Consider the following 17,910-nt stretch of genomic DNA (forward strand, 5'->3'; position numbering starts at 1 on the left):
TTTTGGGGTATTCGTTAGGTAGAAATGGTTATCTAAAACATGGTTTGGGTGAACTTTTCCCCTTTTTCTGTACTTTGTTATCATTGGATATCAAAGGGATTCTCTTATCCTTGAAGGCTTGGTGGGACATTGTTATACTAATAATTTTGAGTATAGTCTCTGTGTTTGTTTGTGTGTGTGTATAAATTTCTGAATATTTAGTCAATTCCTTCTTGAAGGAATTTTCAATGGAAGCTATCACAATATATGATTTTCAACCTACTCTGAATTTAGAACCTAATTCCATGAGATGAGCCTCTATTGAAATCACATGAATTAAGGTACTGACAAAGTGTTGTCACAAATGACTCCACGGGGAAAGCCTCAGAGATTGGCTTTGGCTTGGTGAGTATTCGTTCTGAACAAGGGTTATTTACGTACTTTAAGAAGTGTTTCTGAAAGAAGAGATCTTGAAACTCTTTCTCCTGCTACAGGGGATAGCCTTGCAAGGAAGCTACTTTCCATGGGAACACATAGGACTCCTGCACCAGACAGCAGCTTGATATGCATTGCAGTCCTTGGCCTTTATGATTTTCCTGTCATGGCACTACTTGGTGGATAAATCTTTTTCAATTCTGTGGATCCTTCATAGGAAGCCCACATGCCAGCAAATCTAAGTCATCTTCTCCAGTATCTTCTTTATGAGGAATAAAGTCCATGTATTTTTCTTCTTTCATCTATTTATTACTTGATTTCAAGCTTAGACTTGAAGCATGGAGGTAAATTGCTTAAAAAATCCAAGCAATTTGGAGAAAGACAATAGAAATAGTTGAGCCAGTGAGGCACAGAAAGAGGAGTAGCACTGTGGGCCTATTGTAAGATCTACCTCTGGGCTGGGCTCGGTGGCTCATGCTTGTAATCCCAGCACTTTGGGAGGCCGAGGCAGGCGGATCACCTGAGGTCAGGAGTTCAAGACCAGCCTAACCAACAGGGAGAAACCCTGTCTCTACTAAAAATAAAAATTAGCTGGGTGTGGTGGTGCATGCGTGTAATCCCAGCTACTCAGGAGGCTGAGACAGGAGAATTGCTTGAACCCGGGAGGCGGAGGTTGCAGTGAGCCAAGATTGTGCCATTGCACTCCAGCCTGGGCAACAAGAGTGAAACAGTGAAACCCCATCTCAAAAAAAAAAAAAAAAAAAGATCCACCTCTGAGGGCAGGGAAGAACAAGTGCTCCTGAAGAGCAGCTTACTACCAAGAATTTTGAAGGGAGGCAGCCTGGGCAATGCAACCCCTTTTTCTTCTTCCCAACTCACCAATTAGAGAAGTTCCTCCTGTGACAGAAAAGGATTGAGTGTATAGAGAGTCTAGAAATGTTGTGGTCATGAATGTCCCTCCACATGTAGGAATGAAGGATAAGAATTTTCTCAAGACAAACCATTGCATGGTTGAATTGATTAGGTTTCTAGGCTTGCATTACTGAAATAACTCTGAGATATCTTAAATGACTTATTTTGTTGTTCCTAGATCTTTTAGTCACATGATTATAGACAGTCTTAGTTTTCTGCCACAGATGGATAACTGATTAGTGTGGTGTGTGAACTGTACATGCTCCTCCTCAGTGAGCTAGCTTATCTCCAAGAGCTCCAGGTCTCTGTGCACTGGTGATATTCCTCTACTGTCACTTTTAAACAAAACTACTGACAACCGGGACATTGTTCCATCAAACCTGGCAGAATTCTATCAATTGGCTCCGTCCCAGCCTAGTTCCTCTAATTATTATAGCTACCCAGGAAGCCGCCTGAAGAGTGAAGCCATTTTCTCTTTGTGAAAGCCAAGGAGTCAAAAGGCCACTCTATGGCATTTCCGGTGTGCTGGACCAGCCTGCGTATCACGGTTGCCATAGAAACCTGACGTCATAACGGCGACCGTGAAGACTTTTAAAATAGAGACCAACGTGGCCGGGCAGGAAGAGCAGGGTCCCGCCTTCAGGTGTTTGGGACTCAGCTGAGGGTGTGGGTGCCCCGCGGTGGGGGCTGAACCTTCCTGGGGTGTGGAGAGACGAAAGGAGCCCAGATCCAAGTTCCCTCGTTCCCGCTTTGGCATAAGTTGCCCTGGCGGTCTCATGAGAGAGAGAAAGAGCTGGGACCCTCCTCGCCCCAGTGAGTGTGATGTCTTGCTCCGGGTGTCCTGGGGCAACTTTCTATACAGGCGGGACGTGGGAGGATCAGACAGGTAAGGACTCTCTGAGCCCAGCGTCCCGTTCTGTAAAATGAGGATAAGAATGCACACCCACAGGATTGCTGCAACCTGCAGTGATAACACAGGTGCAAGATGATAGATAGCCCTGTGGTTGTTATGGGACGATGGGTGCTTTATGGATTCAGGCTATTTCTTTTCTTTTATTTTTTGAAAACAACAGAAATTTATTATTTTACAGTTTTGGAGTTCAAAAGTCCAAAGTAGGTCTCACTGGGCTAAAATCAAGGTGTCAGCAGGGCTATGTTCCTTCTGGAAGTTCTAGTGTAGAATGAATTTTCGTTTTTTTCCAGCTTCTAGAAGCTGCTGGCATTCCTTGGCTCATGCCCTCACATTACTCTAACCTCCATATTGTGGTCACATCTACTTCTCCGATTTTATTGCCTCCCTATTTCCCTCATAAAGACCCTTGTAATTATATCAGGCCCACCCATATGATCCAGAATAACCTCACCATTTTAAGATCATTAACTTAATCACATCTGTAAAGTCCATTTTACCATGTAATGTAACATATTCACTTGTTCCAGAGATTAGGACATGGATTTCTTTGGGGCAGAGGAGTGTTATTCAGCCTACAGCACAGTTGTATATTAGATACTGTGCTGGATAGCCTCAATTTGTCTCTTCAAAGCTTCCACCCCTCACCACCCTACTCTGTGCTTCACAGGTCTGATCCTTATAGATTACATCAACTCAGATCCCTTCTCCTTAGGCTTCCAGTTGGGTTTGGCCAATGGGAGATACTAGCAAGTGAGTGAGGGAAAGATGGGGTATGTGTCCCCAGTGCCAGATTCCTTGGTGTTGGGCTACAGGTTGGTAGTGGTTGTGTTCCTCTACCAAGGGCTCAGGCAGTTTCCTCATTCTTTTTTAAAGTTGTTATTAGGTGATAGATGGAAAGGAGAAGAAAAGGCCCTGGTGAGAAACTCATTGTTCCTTCTGTTGTTATGATCACTACCTGATTGTGTCAGTGTCATTGGTCACTAATTCAGTGCCCAGCATGGTTGCAGGCACAGAGTCACTTCAATAAAGCATAGTGATTGCTGGAGTCTGTCTCTCCCCAGGAAGCACTTCACGGGGGCAACTAAACTTATATCAGGTGTCTGAAGGAGGTGGGTTCTGATGATCTAGGTCATGATGACTGCTGAAGCTTCTACTTCAGATTTGCAGGACAGCAGTCCTCAGGAGATCTCTAGCACTTCCATCCTTGGTGGGATATGATGCCTGGCTCAAGTGAGTTCATAGATCTGAGCAGAAGTATGTTGCAGAATAGTAGCTGTGTAGTTCACAAAGTAGTCTAAAAGTAGAGCAGCCACTTTGATCTTATCACTGGAAAAGAGGCTCAACAGGTGGATTTCATTGCGTGCATCAGCAGCTACATGCTTTGTAGTATCCCTTGAGGCCCATTTGGAGCTACCTTTCTTAAAGCAATGAATTGTTCAGTTGGGGAAGAAACTTGATATTTAACATGCATTTGTAATAAATTTACACATAGTTTTCTGACTGTATAAATAATAATTCATTATTCCCATGTATCTCGGATGGAAGTTGAAATATGCAGGTGGTTAGAAGGTCTTCATAGCAATTTGAGATTGTAATATGCATGCTTTCATGGTTAGCGTGTTTTCATCCATTCTGCAATGTAATTTTTTAAGAGGCCAGGAATTTATTAAGTGTTAGTTAAATGTCAGGTACAAGAATTTAGTATTTTTGAAAATAACAATTACTTGATAGTTTGCCCAATTATAATGATACCTAGTCACATCTCCTAAAATAACCAGATAAGCCTAAGTATTATTATTATTATTTCGTAGGAAATAACATTTTCAGTTCTATAGTACCTGGGGTCCCTACCCCTCCTACCGCCCTGTCTCCAGGCAAACACATTTCTGTCACTGTAGATTTGGTTTTATGTCCTAGAAATGTATTTAAGTGGAATCATAGAGAGGTTTTTTTAAGAGGAATCTGGCTTTTTTCATTCACCCTATTTAATTTTAGATTTATCCATTTCGTTGCATATATCAATAGTTTATTCTTTGTTATTGCTTAATAGCATTCCAGTGTATGGCTATACCACTATTTGCTTTATCCATTCACCTGTTGGTGGATATTTGGGTTGTTTCTAATTTGGGACACTTATAAATAAAGCTGATATGAACATATGTGAATAAGTCTTTTCATAGACATACGCGTTCTTTCTTTGGGGTAAATATTTAGGAGTGCAATTGCTGGATATATGGTAGATATAAGATTAACATTGTAAGAAACTGCCAAGCTGTTTCCAAAGTGGTTGTACCACTGCTGTCACCAGCAGTGTGTGAGAGTTTTATCCTCCCCAACCTTGCCAGTGCTTGATATGGTCAGTTTCTTTAATTTTGGCCATTCTTACAAGAATATAGTAGTATCTCATTGCAGTTTTCATTTACATTTCCCTAACGATTAATGTTGTTGAGTATCTTTTCATGTGTTTACTTGACATTTGTATATATATATCTTCTTTAGTGGAATGTCTATTCAAATATTTTGCCCATTTATTTACTTAAGTGTCTGTTTTCCTCTGACTTTTGTGATATTTTCTATATTCTGGATACAAGTCCTTCATCAGATATATTATTTTAAACACTTTCTCCTAGTCAGGGACTTGTATTTTCATTTTCTTATCCATATATTTGGAAAAGCAAAAGTTTTTGACTTTGAGGAAGTCCAATTTATTGATTTGTTCACTTACGGATTGTGGTTTTCATGTCATATATTAATGTAATAGCATGACTACAGAGAGAATACTTGCAATTGTAATAGCAAGCAGGGATAAGCCCACATTTCCACTAGGTGACAGCTTCACTGTCATTCTGTGTGGGGGAGAGGGTTGTGGGATGGAGCTGAGGAAGACGAAAAGCATCATTGCACAGCTTCCAAGTAACTGAATGGGGACAGGACAGGCATCATCACCCCATCCCCTGTTTTTCATGTGCTTTTTCATCCTCTTACCTTCCTACTCATTCCTTGTGCTTTCTTGTCCTCTTACTCTCCCATCTAGTGTAACATCAGACAAGGGTGTTGACTCTGCAGCACAGAACCAGTAGTTTGTGGAGAAGAATGGAGGTGTGGTGTTGAATCTGCTAGACAGGCTACTGAAGCAAAAGTCAAGAGATCCAGATTCCATCATGGGGACACTTTAGGTAAGTCACTACCCTTCCTTTAGATTAGTCTATACAACAGGATAAAAATACCCAATATTCCTGACCACCAGGAATACTCTGGAGTTTAAGTATGATCTCATGTGGGAAAGCAATCTTCCCCCCTCCTTAGAAAAGTAGTGTACATTTGAGTAATTACATTAATAGGGATATTCCAGATGTCCCAGAATCTGCATGGTAGGCATTAAATTAATGGTGCTCAAGTGTGAACTTTTTTTTTTTTTTTTTGAGATGGAGTCTCGCTCTGTCACCCAGGCTGGAGTGCAGAGGCATGATCTTGGCTCACTGCAACCTCTGCCTCCTGGTTCAAGCGATTCTCCTGCCTTAGTATCCTGAGTAGCTGGGCTTACAGGTGCCTACCACCACACCCAGCTAATTTTTGAATTTTTGGTAGAGACAGGGTTTCACCATGTTGGCCAGGCTGGTCTTGAACTCCTGACCTCAAGTGATCTGCCCACCTTGGCCTCCCAAAGTGCTGGGATTACAGACGTGAGCCACTGCACCTGGCCAAATGTGAAATGTTGAGGTCAGAATTTTTCCAAGTGTGGTCTATGGATCACTTCATCAAATTCATCAGGAGGTGCTCGTTAAAATAGCAGATACTTGGACCTACCCTAGATCTGCTGAATCAAAACCAAGGAGGTGGGATGGGAGGTGTCTCCATTTAAAGTAATATCTTCAGTTGGTCTGGTACTCATCTTAGTGCATTCTGAGCTACTATAACAAAATATCATAACTCGGTAGCTGATAAACAACAGAAATTTATTTCTCACAGTTCTGGAGGCTGAGAAATCCAAAATTAAGGCATTGACAGCTTCAGTGTTTTGCTGAGGGCCCACTTCCTTCATAGATGGATGACTTCTCACTATAACCTCCCCTGGTGGAAGGGGCTAGCTAGCTCTCTGGAGTCTCTTTGATAACAGCATTAATCTCAGTTATGAGGATAGAGCCCTAATGACCTAAAAACCTCTCATAGCCTCACCTTCTAATACCATCACCTTGGTATTAGGTTTTAATATGAATTTGAGGCGGGGGGGGTCACAGATATTCAGACTATAACATCATCCATGTTTGAAAAGCGCTGCTATGGATGTACAGGATCTTCTTACAGTTTTAAATCATTTAATATCTAATTTCATTGATAGTTGCTCCTGCTACTCAGCTTAAATATCTGTCTTCTTTGGTCTGTTAAATAGGCAGCAATTCCTTCAATTAAGTAATATTATTTCAGTGATTATATGTGAAGTACTAAAGTAGGCACTGAGGAAACAGCACAGAGAATAAGATAGGCAGGGTCCCTGGAGCTATCATTCTAGTTTGGGAAAAGTGGCAGTAAGCAGGTAAACAAGTCAATAAGCCATGTGATTTCATATGAGGATATGTGTTTTGAAGAAAATAAACAGGTGGAGTAGAAAATGACTGAGACAGGGATTATTATAGATGGGGTTGTCAATGAGGCTCCTTCTCAGGAAGTGACACTTGAGCTGAGTCCTGAACGATAAGAAGAAGCCAGGCATGGAGAGGCCATTTTGTTAGTGTCCCTGTGCCGTGTGTGGGCACCATTGATCCAGGAGCAGAGGACAAGCTGGAGTGGCTGGAGCCTGGCACATAAGTGCAGACAGGTGGGAGATGAGATTGAAAGGGTAGACAGGAGCCACATGGTTTCAGTCCTGTAAGGGGTTTGAGGTTTTTGTTTGTTTGTTTTGAGACGGAGTCTTGCTCTGTCACCCAGGCTAGATAGAGTGCAGTGGCGCAATCTCGGCTCACTGCAAGCTCCGCCTCCCGGGTTCACGCCATTCTCCTGCCTCAGCCTCCCGCCACCAAGCCCAGCTAATTTTTTGTATTTTTAGTAGAGATGGGGTTTCGCCATGTTAGCCAGGATGGTCTCGATCTCCTGACCTCATGATCTGCCCGCCTCGGCCTCCCAAAGTGCTGGGACTACAGGCGTGAGCCACCGCGCCTGACAGGAGTTTGAGTTTTATTCTCAGTGTGGTGGGTTAGAGTATGGGAGTGATGTGATCTGATTCTTTATGTGGAAGCTGACTCTGGCTGCTGTGTGGAGAATGGGCTGGAGAGGGACAAGATAGGGAGTGGGGATAACCATTAGGAAAATATTGCAGAAGTCCAGGAGAGGGATGTGTGTGGATGAGGCCAGGGCTGCAGCTATGTACAAAGGGAGGGATGGACCTGGACAGGGCGTGTTTGCACGTCGGGCAGGTAGGACCTGCAGTGGCTGTGTGCCTGGGGTGTGTGAAGATAAGGGAGAGTTAAGGAGAACCCCTGGGCTTTTTGTTTGGCCATGCAGAGAAATGGTGGTGCTGTTTTCTGAGATCAGACCTTCCAAGTGCTTTGAGATGTTCTCAAGTTATTTAGTTTTACTATAACTAATATTAGTTATAATAACAATAAGTGATTTAAAAAATATGTTGGTTGATGAAGATGATTCAGCTGTAAGACTATTAAGCTTTTTTTCCCCAGCATCTCTGTAGGAGAATTTTTTAAATAATGTGATTACTCACCATTTATCTTTTTAAAAACTCAAAACACAAGTTAATAAATATATTTTTAATGTTTTGTCTTCTACATTATGTACTGTGTAATGCCAGTTTTATGGATGTAACAAATGAGTGACTATAAGGTGAAGTGAAAGTATTTAAAGTCACTCAGTCTTTACATGGCAGAACTAGGGCTTGTCTCTATTCTGTCTCCAGAGCTCACACTCCTGACCAATACACCTAGGAAGAAGAAAAAGCATTTGTGAGGTATGGTGATTACCCAAGGTCACCATCTAGAGTTAATGGTTTAGATCTGTCACTGTGCCCCAAGTATGTGTCCTGTCTTGCTCCCAGCTCGCTGTTCATTAGACTTGGCATTAGCCTTGTTACTACGTATAGTGAATCACTTTTCAAGGGCTTAGGATGGATGTTTTCCTGAGGTTAACCTGCAGGTAACATAAGAGTACACTAAGTACCTTCAAATGAAAAGAAATGGCGTGTTGATTTTCTTATCAGCCCCAAACTATACTGAAAGAACAGGGGAAAATTTCCTAAATCATACAAGATGTGCTTTTTTTCTGTCTGGCTCCTTCAGCATCTTACCATGAATTTTACATTTATTGTTGTCTATAGTTGTAGATCATTCATTCTCATTAATGTGTAGTATTATGTTGTGTGGATATTTTGCAATTAAATGTATCTATTATGGGGATATGGCTATTTTTCAGTGTTTGACTTATTATGAATGATAGTGCTATGAATGTCTTCTACATATCTTTTTTTAACTGTTATTTTAGGTTCAGGGGCACATGTGCAGGTTTGTTATATAAGTAAACTCGTGTCACAGGGGATTGTTGTACAGATTATTTTGTGACCCACGTAATAAGCCTAGTACCCATTAGTTATTTTTTCTGATCATCTCCCTTCTCCCACCCTCCACCCTCAGGTAGGCCTCAATGTCTGTTGTACCCCTCTTTGTGCCCATGTGTTCTCACCATTTAGCTCCTACATATAAGTGAGAATATGTGGTATTTGGTTTTCTGTTCCTGCGTAGTTTGCTAAGGATAATGGCCTCCAGCTCCATCCATGTTGCTTCAAAGGACATTATTTCGTTCTTTTTTCTGGCTGCATAGTATTCTATGGTGTATATGTACCACATTTTCCTTATCCAGTCTACCATTGATGGGCATTTCTGTTGATTCCATGTCTTGGCTATTGTGAATACTGCTGCAAGTAGCATGTGTCTTTATGACAGAACAATTTATATTCCTTTGGGTGTATACCCAGTAATGGAATTGCTGGGTTGAATGGTAGTTCTGTTTTCTACTCTTTGAGGAATCATCACACTGCTTTCCACAATGGTTGAACGAATTTACCCTCCCGCCAACAGTGTATAAGCATTCTCGTTTCTCTGCAACCTTGCCAGCATCTGTTATTTTGTAATTTTTAATAATAGCCATCTGACTGTTGGAGATGGTATCTCATTGTGGTTTTGATTGCATTTCTCTAATGATCAGTAATATTGAGCTTTTATTCATATGCTTGTTGGCCACATATATGTCTTCTTTCGAAAACTGTTCATGTCCTTTGCCCACTTTTTAATGGAGTTGTTTTTTTCTTGTAAATTTGTTTAAGTTCTTTATAGATGCTGGATATTAGACTTATGTCAGATGCATAGTTGGCAGATATTTTCTCCCATTCTGTAGGTTGTCTGTTTACTCTGTTGATAGTCTCTTTTGCTGTGCAGAAGCTCTTTAGTTTAACTAGATTCCATCTGTCAACTTTTGCTTTTATTGCAGTTGTTTTGATGTCTTCGTCATGAAATGTTTGCCCATTCCTATGTCCAGAATAGTATTGCCTAGGTTGTCTTCTAGGATTTCTATAGTGTTGGGTTTTACATTTAAGTCTTTAATCCATCTTGAGTTGATTTTTGTATATAGTGTAAGGAAGGAATCCAGTTTCAATCTTCTGCATAAGGGTATCCCAGCACCACTTATTGCATAGGGAGTCCCTTTGCTTGTTTTTGTCAACTTTCTCAAAAGATCATATGGTTGTAGGTGTGCAACCTTATTTCTGAGCTCTCTATTCTGTTCCATTAGTCTATATGTCTGTTTTTGTACCACTAATATGCTGTTTTGGTTGCTGTAGCCCTGTAGTATAGTTTGAAGTTGGGGAGTGTGATGCCTCCTACTTTATTCTTTTTGCTTAGGATTTCCTTGGCTATTTGGGCTCTTTGGGGTTCCATATGGATTTTAAAGTAGTTTTTTCTAGTTCTGTGAAGAATGTCATTGGTAGTTTGATAGGAATAGCATTGAACTTGTCAATTGCTTTGGGCAGTGTGACCATTTTCATGATATTAATTTTTCCTGTCCATGAGCATGGAATGTTTTTCCATTTGTTTGTCATCTCTGGTTTCTTTGAGCAATGTTTCGTAATTCCCACTGTAGAGATTTTTTTTTTTAACCTCCCTGGTTAGCCATATTCCTAGGTATTTTATTCTTTTTGTGGCAATTGGGAATGGGATTGTGTCCTCATTTGGCTCTAGGCTTGGTTGTTGTTGGTGTATAGGAATGCTAGCGATTTTTTTTTTTTTTTTTGAGACAGAGTCTCGCTCTGTCACCCAGCCTGGAGTGCGGTGGCATGATCTCGGCTCACTGCAACCTCCACCTCCCAGGTTCAAGTGATTCTTCTTCCTCAGCCTTCTGAGTAGCTGGGTTCACAGGCACACGCCACCATGCCTGGCTAATTTTTGTATTTTTAGTAGAGATGGGGTTTTACCATGTTGGCTAGGCTGGTCTTGAACTCCTGACCTCAAGTCATCTGCCCGCCTCTGCCTCCCAAAGTACTGGGATTACAGGCATGAGCCACTGCACCCAGCCTTCAATTTTTATATGTTGATTTTGGATATTGAGACTTTGCCGACATTGTTTATCAGCTTAAGGAGCTTTTGGGCCAAGACTATGGGGTTTTCTAGATATAGGATCATGTCATCTGCAAACACTTTGTAGCATGGTGGCAGTGGAATCCGTCCTTGTTCACACATGCCAGTAGCAGCTGCAGCTGCACTGTGGTAAGATGCACACTGCTTGGCTGCAACAGGGTGCTAATGGATGCCAGGGTGTCAGCCTTCATGCATGCATTTGCAGCAGCAGCTGGCATTGACAGCATGGCTCAGGGGGATGGGGCCCCAGCCAGTGACTGTGCACACCTTCATGCTGGTGGTGGTGTTTGCACTCTCTGTACAAGTTCCCGTGGGTGGCAGTGGCCACTCAGGGCAGGTGTGGGTCTGCTTTTCTCCATGCCTAGTTTTATGCTAACAGCAATTTTGGTGCTGGCAGGGAGGAGGCTGGCGGGCTCCGTGCCTGCCAATGCTCCGACAACAATGGCGATGTGGCAGGAGGAGGGAGGCAGGGGGAGGGGTAGGGTGTACTCAGTCAGCAGCAGTTGCATTGCAGACTGCACATGCACACATGTGCTGGTGAGGGAGGGAAGGCTGCATCTGCTGATGCACACACACAACAGCAAAGCAATGTAGAGGGTGGCCATGGGCGAGTGTGCAGGCAAAGCTGCATTGGGGAGGCTGCAGTCGGGGGAGGATGCAGGTGGGCTGGAGCGAGTCCACTGGGGCTGCTTTTCTCTGCTGGAGCACTCTGCCAGTCAGGAGCAGTCTGCTAGCGCAGGGGCTATGACATGGGCCCACAGGAGATACCTGGGGGCTGCACTGCAAGCAGGCATGACCAGGCTGGGGCCCCAGGAGAGGCCAACAGACTGAGGGGTGTTCAGGTCAGACCAGCCGTGTCTTATGGGCACGATTGCCCTGCAGCGTTCAGGTCCGACAGTTCCCCTAAGGCTAAAGTCTTCTATAGGAGTGAGTCAAGCCTAGGGAGATGGGCAACCATGGCCATGCTCCACTACAGATGCTCCTGTACCAAACTCTCTGGGCTCCACTCCAGCTGGAGTTCTGCCCCTGCCAGTTCTCTGAGTAGCTCTCACTGCCAATTCAAGTGTCCATGGTGGTCAAGGGGTCTTCTCCTGCAGGGATTCCAGAGGCCCGTGGCGAGAGTGGGTTGCTCCTTGCCTGTTCAACCCCTTCCCCAGGAGTCACTGGGGACCAGGAATGACCTGGTGTATGGTAGCCCTGAGCAGCGTTCCCAGCTTCCTCCTGCTTCCACCCAGTATCTGTATCTCCCTTCTGTCTGCTCTCAATGCCTTCCCTCAAGATCTGCTAGGAGTGTGCTAGTCTTCCTGATGCCCTGTCCCTTTGTGGGAGACATTCCCCCTGGCTGTATCTAGTCGGCCATCTTGCGCCCTTTTTTATTTCTCTGCGTATCTTTGATTGGACATTTATTTTCATTTTTCATATGCATGTACCGGTCCTCGGCCTAAGAATAGAATTTCTGAGTCATAGGGTATGTGTATGTTCAGCTCAGCATATACAGCTAAGCAGTTTTCAAAGTGGTTATTCTAATTTATATTTGTATCAGCAGTGTCATAGTTTCACTGCTCTACATCCTCGCTGACACTTGGTATACCTTGGTAGCTTTTGTTGTTCTGATGGATGTGTGATAGTATATAGTATCTCATTTTTCTGTTTTAATTTCTGTTTGATTTAATTTTCTCTCAAGTTTTAAGTTTCTTTTAATATAGACAAGATCCTTTCTCTCTCTTTTTAACTTTCCAATTTATTTGCTTAAGGTGCTGGAGTTTACATTCTCAGTTTTGCTGATTGTATCCCTATTGAGTTGTTCATGTTACTCAGTTTCCTTTAAATTGGTAATTAGAGTTAAAGTAAAAGGTAATTAGAGTTAAAAACTTAATCCTATTCAAATTTTTTTGACAAGGGTGTCTTAGATGTGGCATTATGTACAGTCATGTGTCACTTAACCACAGAGATACATTCTGAGAAATACATCATTAGGAGATTTTGTCATTGTGTGAACATCATAGAGTGCACTTACACAAACCTAGATGGTGTAACCTACTACCTACTTAGGCTATACAGCATGTTACTGTATTGAATAATCTAGGGAACTGTAGCACAAAGGTCAGTATTTATGTATCTAAGCATATCTAAACATAGAAAAAGTACAGTAAAAATATGATATAAAAGATTAAAAATGTATATATCTATACATGTGTATTGGTCACTTGCAGGACTTGAAGGTGCTCTACGTGAGTCTGTGAGTGAGTGGTGAGTGAATATGAAGGCTTAGGACATTACTGTGCACTACTGTAGATTTTACAAACACTGTACAATTAGGCTACATTACATTTATAAAATAGTATTTTTTTCTTCAATAATAAATTAACCTCAGCTTACCGTAACTTTTTAACTTTATAAACTTTTAACGTTTTTAAACTTTTTTATTTTGTAATAACACTTAACTAAAAACATACATTGTACAGATATGCAAAAATATTTTATTTCTTTATATCCTTATTCTGTTACCTTTCTTTTACTTATTTATTTATATTTATATTTACTTATTTATTTATATTTACTTTTTAAACTTTTGGGTTAAAAACTAAGACACAAACACACACATTAGTCTAGGCCTATACAGGGTCAGGATCATCACTATCACTGTCTTCCACCACCAGTCTTGTCCCACTGGGAGGTCTTAAGGGACAATAGCACACATAAAGCTGTCATCTCCTAAGATAACAATACCTTCTTCTGGAATACCTTTTGAAGGACCTGCATGAGGCTGTTTTATAGTTTACTTTTTTTAATAGGTAGAAGGAATACATTCTAAAATAACAATAAAAAGTGTAGTAAATACATAAACCAGTAACAGTCATTTATTATCATTAATAAGTATTATGTACTGTACATAATTGCATGTGCTATACTTTTATACAACTGGCAGTGCAGTAGGTTTGCTTACACCAGCATCAATATATTCTTCACAAACATGTGAAGAATATATTGTGATATGACAGTTAGGACAGCAACGTGAGTAGGTGATAGGAATTTTTTGGCTCCATTATATCTTATGGGACTGCTGTTACATATGTGTTCTGGAGTTGACCAAAACATTGTTATGCAGCACATGACTGTCCTTCTTATAGCCTCACAGGTATCTTAGTCACTTCAGGCTGCTGTAACAAGTTACCATACAGTGGTGGGTTAAATAGTTTATTAGTCCATACTCACATTGCTATAAAAAACTACCTGAGACTAGATAATTTATAAAGAAAAGAGGTTTAATTGACTCACAGTCCTGCAGGCTATACAGGAGGCATGGCTGGGAAACTCAGGAAACTTATAATCCTGGCAGAAGGCGAAGGGGAAGCAGGCACATTTTACATGGTCAAAGAAGGAGGAAGAGAGTGAAGGGGGAAGTGCCACATACTTTTATTCAACCAGATCTTGTGAGAACTCATTCCCTATCATGAGAACAACAAGGGGGAAGTATGCCCCCAAGATCCAATCACCTCCCACCAGGCCCCTCTTCCAACATTGGGGATTACAATTCAACATGAGATTTGGGTGAGGACACAAATCCAAACCGTATCAAACAACAAGTATGTATTTCTCATGGGTCTGGAGGCTGCAAGTCTGAGATCAGGGTGCCAGCATGGTTGGATTCAGGTTAAGGGCCCCCTGCCTAGTCCTCACATGGCCTTTCCTTGGTGTGTGCATGTGGAAAGGAAACAAGCTCTCATGTCTTTTATTACAAGGGCACTAATCTCATCATGAGGGCTGTGTCCTCATGACCCAATTCCTTTCAAAGGCCCCATCCCCAAACACCATCACATTGGAGATTAGGCTTTTAACATATAAACTGGGGGTGGTGGTGGGACACAAACATTTAGGTAATAGCGCAGCAGGAGCCTCATTGTGTCTGTTTATCTCCTCTACTGTGAAGTTCAGGTTGATCACTGGGCTCAGATTTTGTCAGCCCAATCCATCCATTATAACACTTTCCATGTGTTTTTCTCCTCAGGGTTTTTTCCACTTTCTGAAGATTGTTGTCTAGAGCTATATTTCATTAGAAGTTGCAAAATGGTGATGTTGTAATTTTACAATTTATTCTGCATTTATTAGCTGGGTGTTTCCTATAACATAACTTGCCCCATGCCGTCAACTATTAGGATTCACTGAGGTATGGAGCACACAAGAAGTGAAGGATGAATGTTTAATTCTTTTGCAGTATTTTCACTTTTTAGAACGAATAGCTGTTTCCATAGGAGCTTCCAAAGATGAGTAGAGAGTTGGTATTTTTCGTGTTTTGTTTTTCTTTTCTTGTGACTCAGAGATGTTCCTGTATTTAATATGTTTTAAACCATTGCAGTCACTAATCTCTTTGATGTTCAAATTGTTTCATTTTTGTCCAGTGAGAGCCTCCTCAGTTTGGTTTCTGAATCTTTTTGACATGCTTTCTGGTAGGATAATTTGGTCCAGGCTTATCTGATACAATCCTGACCCCAGACCTGGAATCATCTGTCTCTCTGAGAGAGCCTGATTTCTTTTCATGGGGAATATTTTTAGAGGACTCAATCTGGGTACTAATCAACTGCTTGTAGTTTGTTGCTTTTTTAGTGTACATAGCCAGTAATTATGCATTATATTTTGAAGATGATACACATCTTGGCTTCCATCCTGAATTGCTCCTCTATGCCCTTATAGATAAATCATTTTTACCAGTTTTTGTTTTAATCTTCCAGTTTTTAAAAATATAAGCAAATGTGATGTGTGTATTTATTTCCTCCCTGACACAAGTAGAAGGTGGCATATTCTACACCACCACTATCCAATGGAAATTTCTGCATTGATGAAAATTGTCTGTATCTGCACTGTCCAACACAGTAGCCACTAGTTTACCTGAGGCTGTTGAGCACCTGAAACATGGTGAGTATGAGTGAGGTATGAGTTTATAATTTTATTTGAATTTATTTATTAAAATTAAATGGCTACATGTAGCTAGTGACCACCATATTGAACAACAACAGCTCTCTCCATTTTTTTGCACTGCATTTTTCATTTATAATATGTCCTGGAGGTCAATCCATAGCAGTGTAGAGAAGGGATCTTTGTTGCCTTTTATACATGCATGGTACTCTAGGAAGTACCTTAGATTACTCAATCAGCCTTCTATTGGTGGACATCTGTCTTATATCTAATCTTCTGCTGTTATGAATTGTTCTGCCAGGAATGGCCTTGTGTTTATGCCTGTTTGTCTATTTGCATTATATCTTTGGAATAGATTCTTAGGAAAGAGATTGCTGGTTCCAAGAATTAATGCCTATGTCATTCTATTAAATAGCATCAAATTCCTTCCACAGGGGATGTACCATTTGAAATTACTTCTAGCAATGCATGACAATGCCTGTTTCCTCACAGTCTCTCTAAGAGGAACTCTGCAGGGAGTAAACATCATGTGAGAAATCTGTGAAAACCATTTTGCTAAGTCAGGAGAGTTTGATGTTCAGACTGGGGTCCTAATCCTGTGCTTGTCTTTGAGAACTTGGTCTTTACTCCTATCTCCTGTGGCTCTGGGTCCAGTCCCTCAGCGAAGGAGAGGAGTTCTTACATGAAGCAGAAACTCCATGTCACCTCAGATGGACACCTCAAATGACTAAATGGAAAAAATCACTCCCTTAGGGATCAGGCAGACTCAAAACAAGTTCAGAAACATACCACTCTGACACAGTGAAGAGAAACGGAGAAAGTAAAACTTCTACTTTCTACTTGTGAGAAGAACTAAGACTGTAAGCACACAAGTGTTGCCTTGCCCTTTCCTCTCTATGAGTGAGGTAGGTCAGGAGCAGGTAGTAGTAGCCCTTTAGCCCTAGGCAAGCAGACAGAGGCACGGGTTACAAGGTGCCTCAGTTTCCCAAGGTAGCAGTCTCTTTCCACTCAACCATATCATTTTCTATTTAGATGCTGGGTGTATTAGACCATACTTGTGTTGCTATAAAGACATACCTGAGGCTGAGTAATTTATTTTTATTTTTTGTTTTATTTTATTTTATTTATTTATTTATTTTGAGACGGAGTCTCGCTCTGTCGCCCAGGCTGGAGTGCAGTGGCGCGATCTCGGCTCACTGCAAGCTCCGCCTCCCGGGTTCACGCCATTCTCCTGCCTCAGCCTCCGGAGTAGCTGGGACTACAGGCGCCCGCCACCATGCCCGGCTAATTTTTTGTATTTTTAGTAGAGACGGGCTTTCACCGTGTTAGCCAGGATGGTCTCGATCTCCTGATCTCGTGATCCGCCCGCCTCAGCCTCCCAAAGTGCTGGGATTACAGGCGTGAGTCACTGCGCCTGGCCAAGGCTGGGTAATTTATAAAGAAAAGGTGCTCACAGTTCTGCAGGCTGTACAAGCATGGCATCAACATCTGCTTGGCTTCTGGTGAGGGCCTCAGGAAGCTTACAGTCATGGTGAAAGGCAGAGTGGGAGGAGGCATGTCACACGGCAGTAGTTGGAGCAAGAAAGAGATGAGGGAGGTACCACACACTTTTAAACAAACAAATCTCATGAGAACTCACTCACTATTGCAAGGACAGCACCAAGACATTCATGAGGGATTTGCCCTCATGAGTGAGGTAGGTCAGGAGCAGGTAGTAGCCCTTTAGCAGTATGCAAGCAGGCAGAGGCATGGGTTACAAAGTGCCTCAGTTTCCCAAGGTAGCAGTCTCTTTCCACTCAACCATATCACTTTCTGTTTAGATGCTTGGTGTATTAGGCTTTGCAGGTTGTAGCCCCGTGGCTGATCTCATGGGTTGGACTTGACTGCCTGTGACTTCTCCAGGCTCAGGATATGAGCTGTCCATGGCTCTACCGTTCTGGGGTCTGCAGGGCAGTGGCCCCCTTTTCACAGCTCCACTAGGCAGTGCCCCATTGGGGACTCTGTGTTGGGTCTCCAACCCCATATTTCTCCTCCACACTGTCCTAGTAGAGTTTCTATACTGGGGGCTCTGCCCCTGTGGCAGGCTTCTGCCTAGGCACTCAGGCTTTCTAATACATTTTCTGAAAT

The 17,910-nt window shown here is 42.1% G+C and overlaps 1 long non-coding RNA gene across 7 annotated transcripts in view, besides 2 other annotated features; it reads left to right on the forward strand.

Moving 5' to 3' along the window:
* Nucleotides 1,887-2,056: an enhancer, noted in NCBI's record as "active region_29817". NCBI's record gives its function as "activates an Ori minimal core promoter by ATAC-STARR-seq in GM12878 lymphoblastoid cells {active_cell/tissue: GM12878}" and the evidence as "EXISTENCE:reporter gene assay evidence [ECO:0000049][PMID:35858748]".
* LL0XNC01-250H12.3 (uncharacterized) overlaps nt 1,896-17,910 on the forward strand; it is a 113,164-nt gene continuing 97,149 nt past the window's right edge. For 4 of the 7 annotated variants that reach the window (NR_188439.1, NR_188440.1, NR_188433.1 and 1 more), the window contains exons 1-2: nt 1,896-2,212; nt 5,274-5,415. This is a non-coding gene — a long non-coding RNA (uncharacterized LL0XNC01-250H12.3). The remainder of the gene's footprint in view (nt 2,213-5,273; nt 5,416-17,910) is intronic. The other 3 variants (NR_188435.1, NR_188437.1, NR_188438.1) reach the window with 1 other exon arrangement.
* Nucleotides 13,433-13,633: a silencer, noted in NCBI's record as "peak7415 fragment used in MPRA reporter construct". NCBI's record gives its function as "represses an SCP1 promoter by STARR-seq MPRAs in K562 erythroleukemia cells {active_cell/tissue: K562}" and the evidence as "EXISTENCE:reporter gene assay evidence [ECO:0000049][PMID:32103011]".

The sequence above is a fragment of the Homo sapiens genome, chromosome X (genome assembly GCF_000001405.40).
Source record: "Homo sapiens chromosome X, GRCh38.p14 Primary Assembly".
NCBI classification, from domain to species: Eukaryota; Metazoa; Chordata; class Mammalia; order Primates; family Hominidae; genus Homo; species Homo sapiens.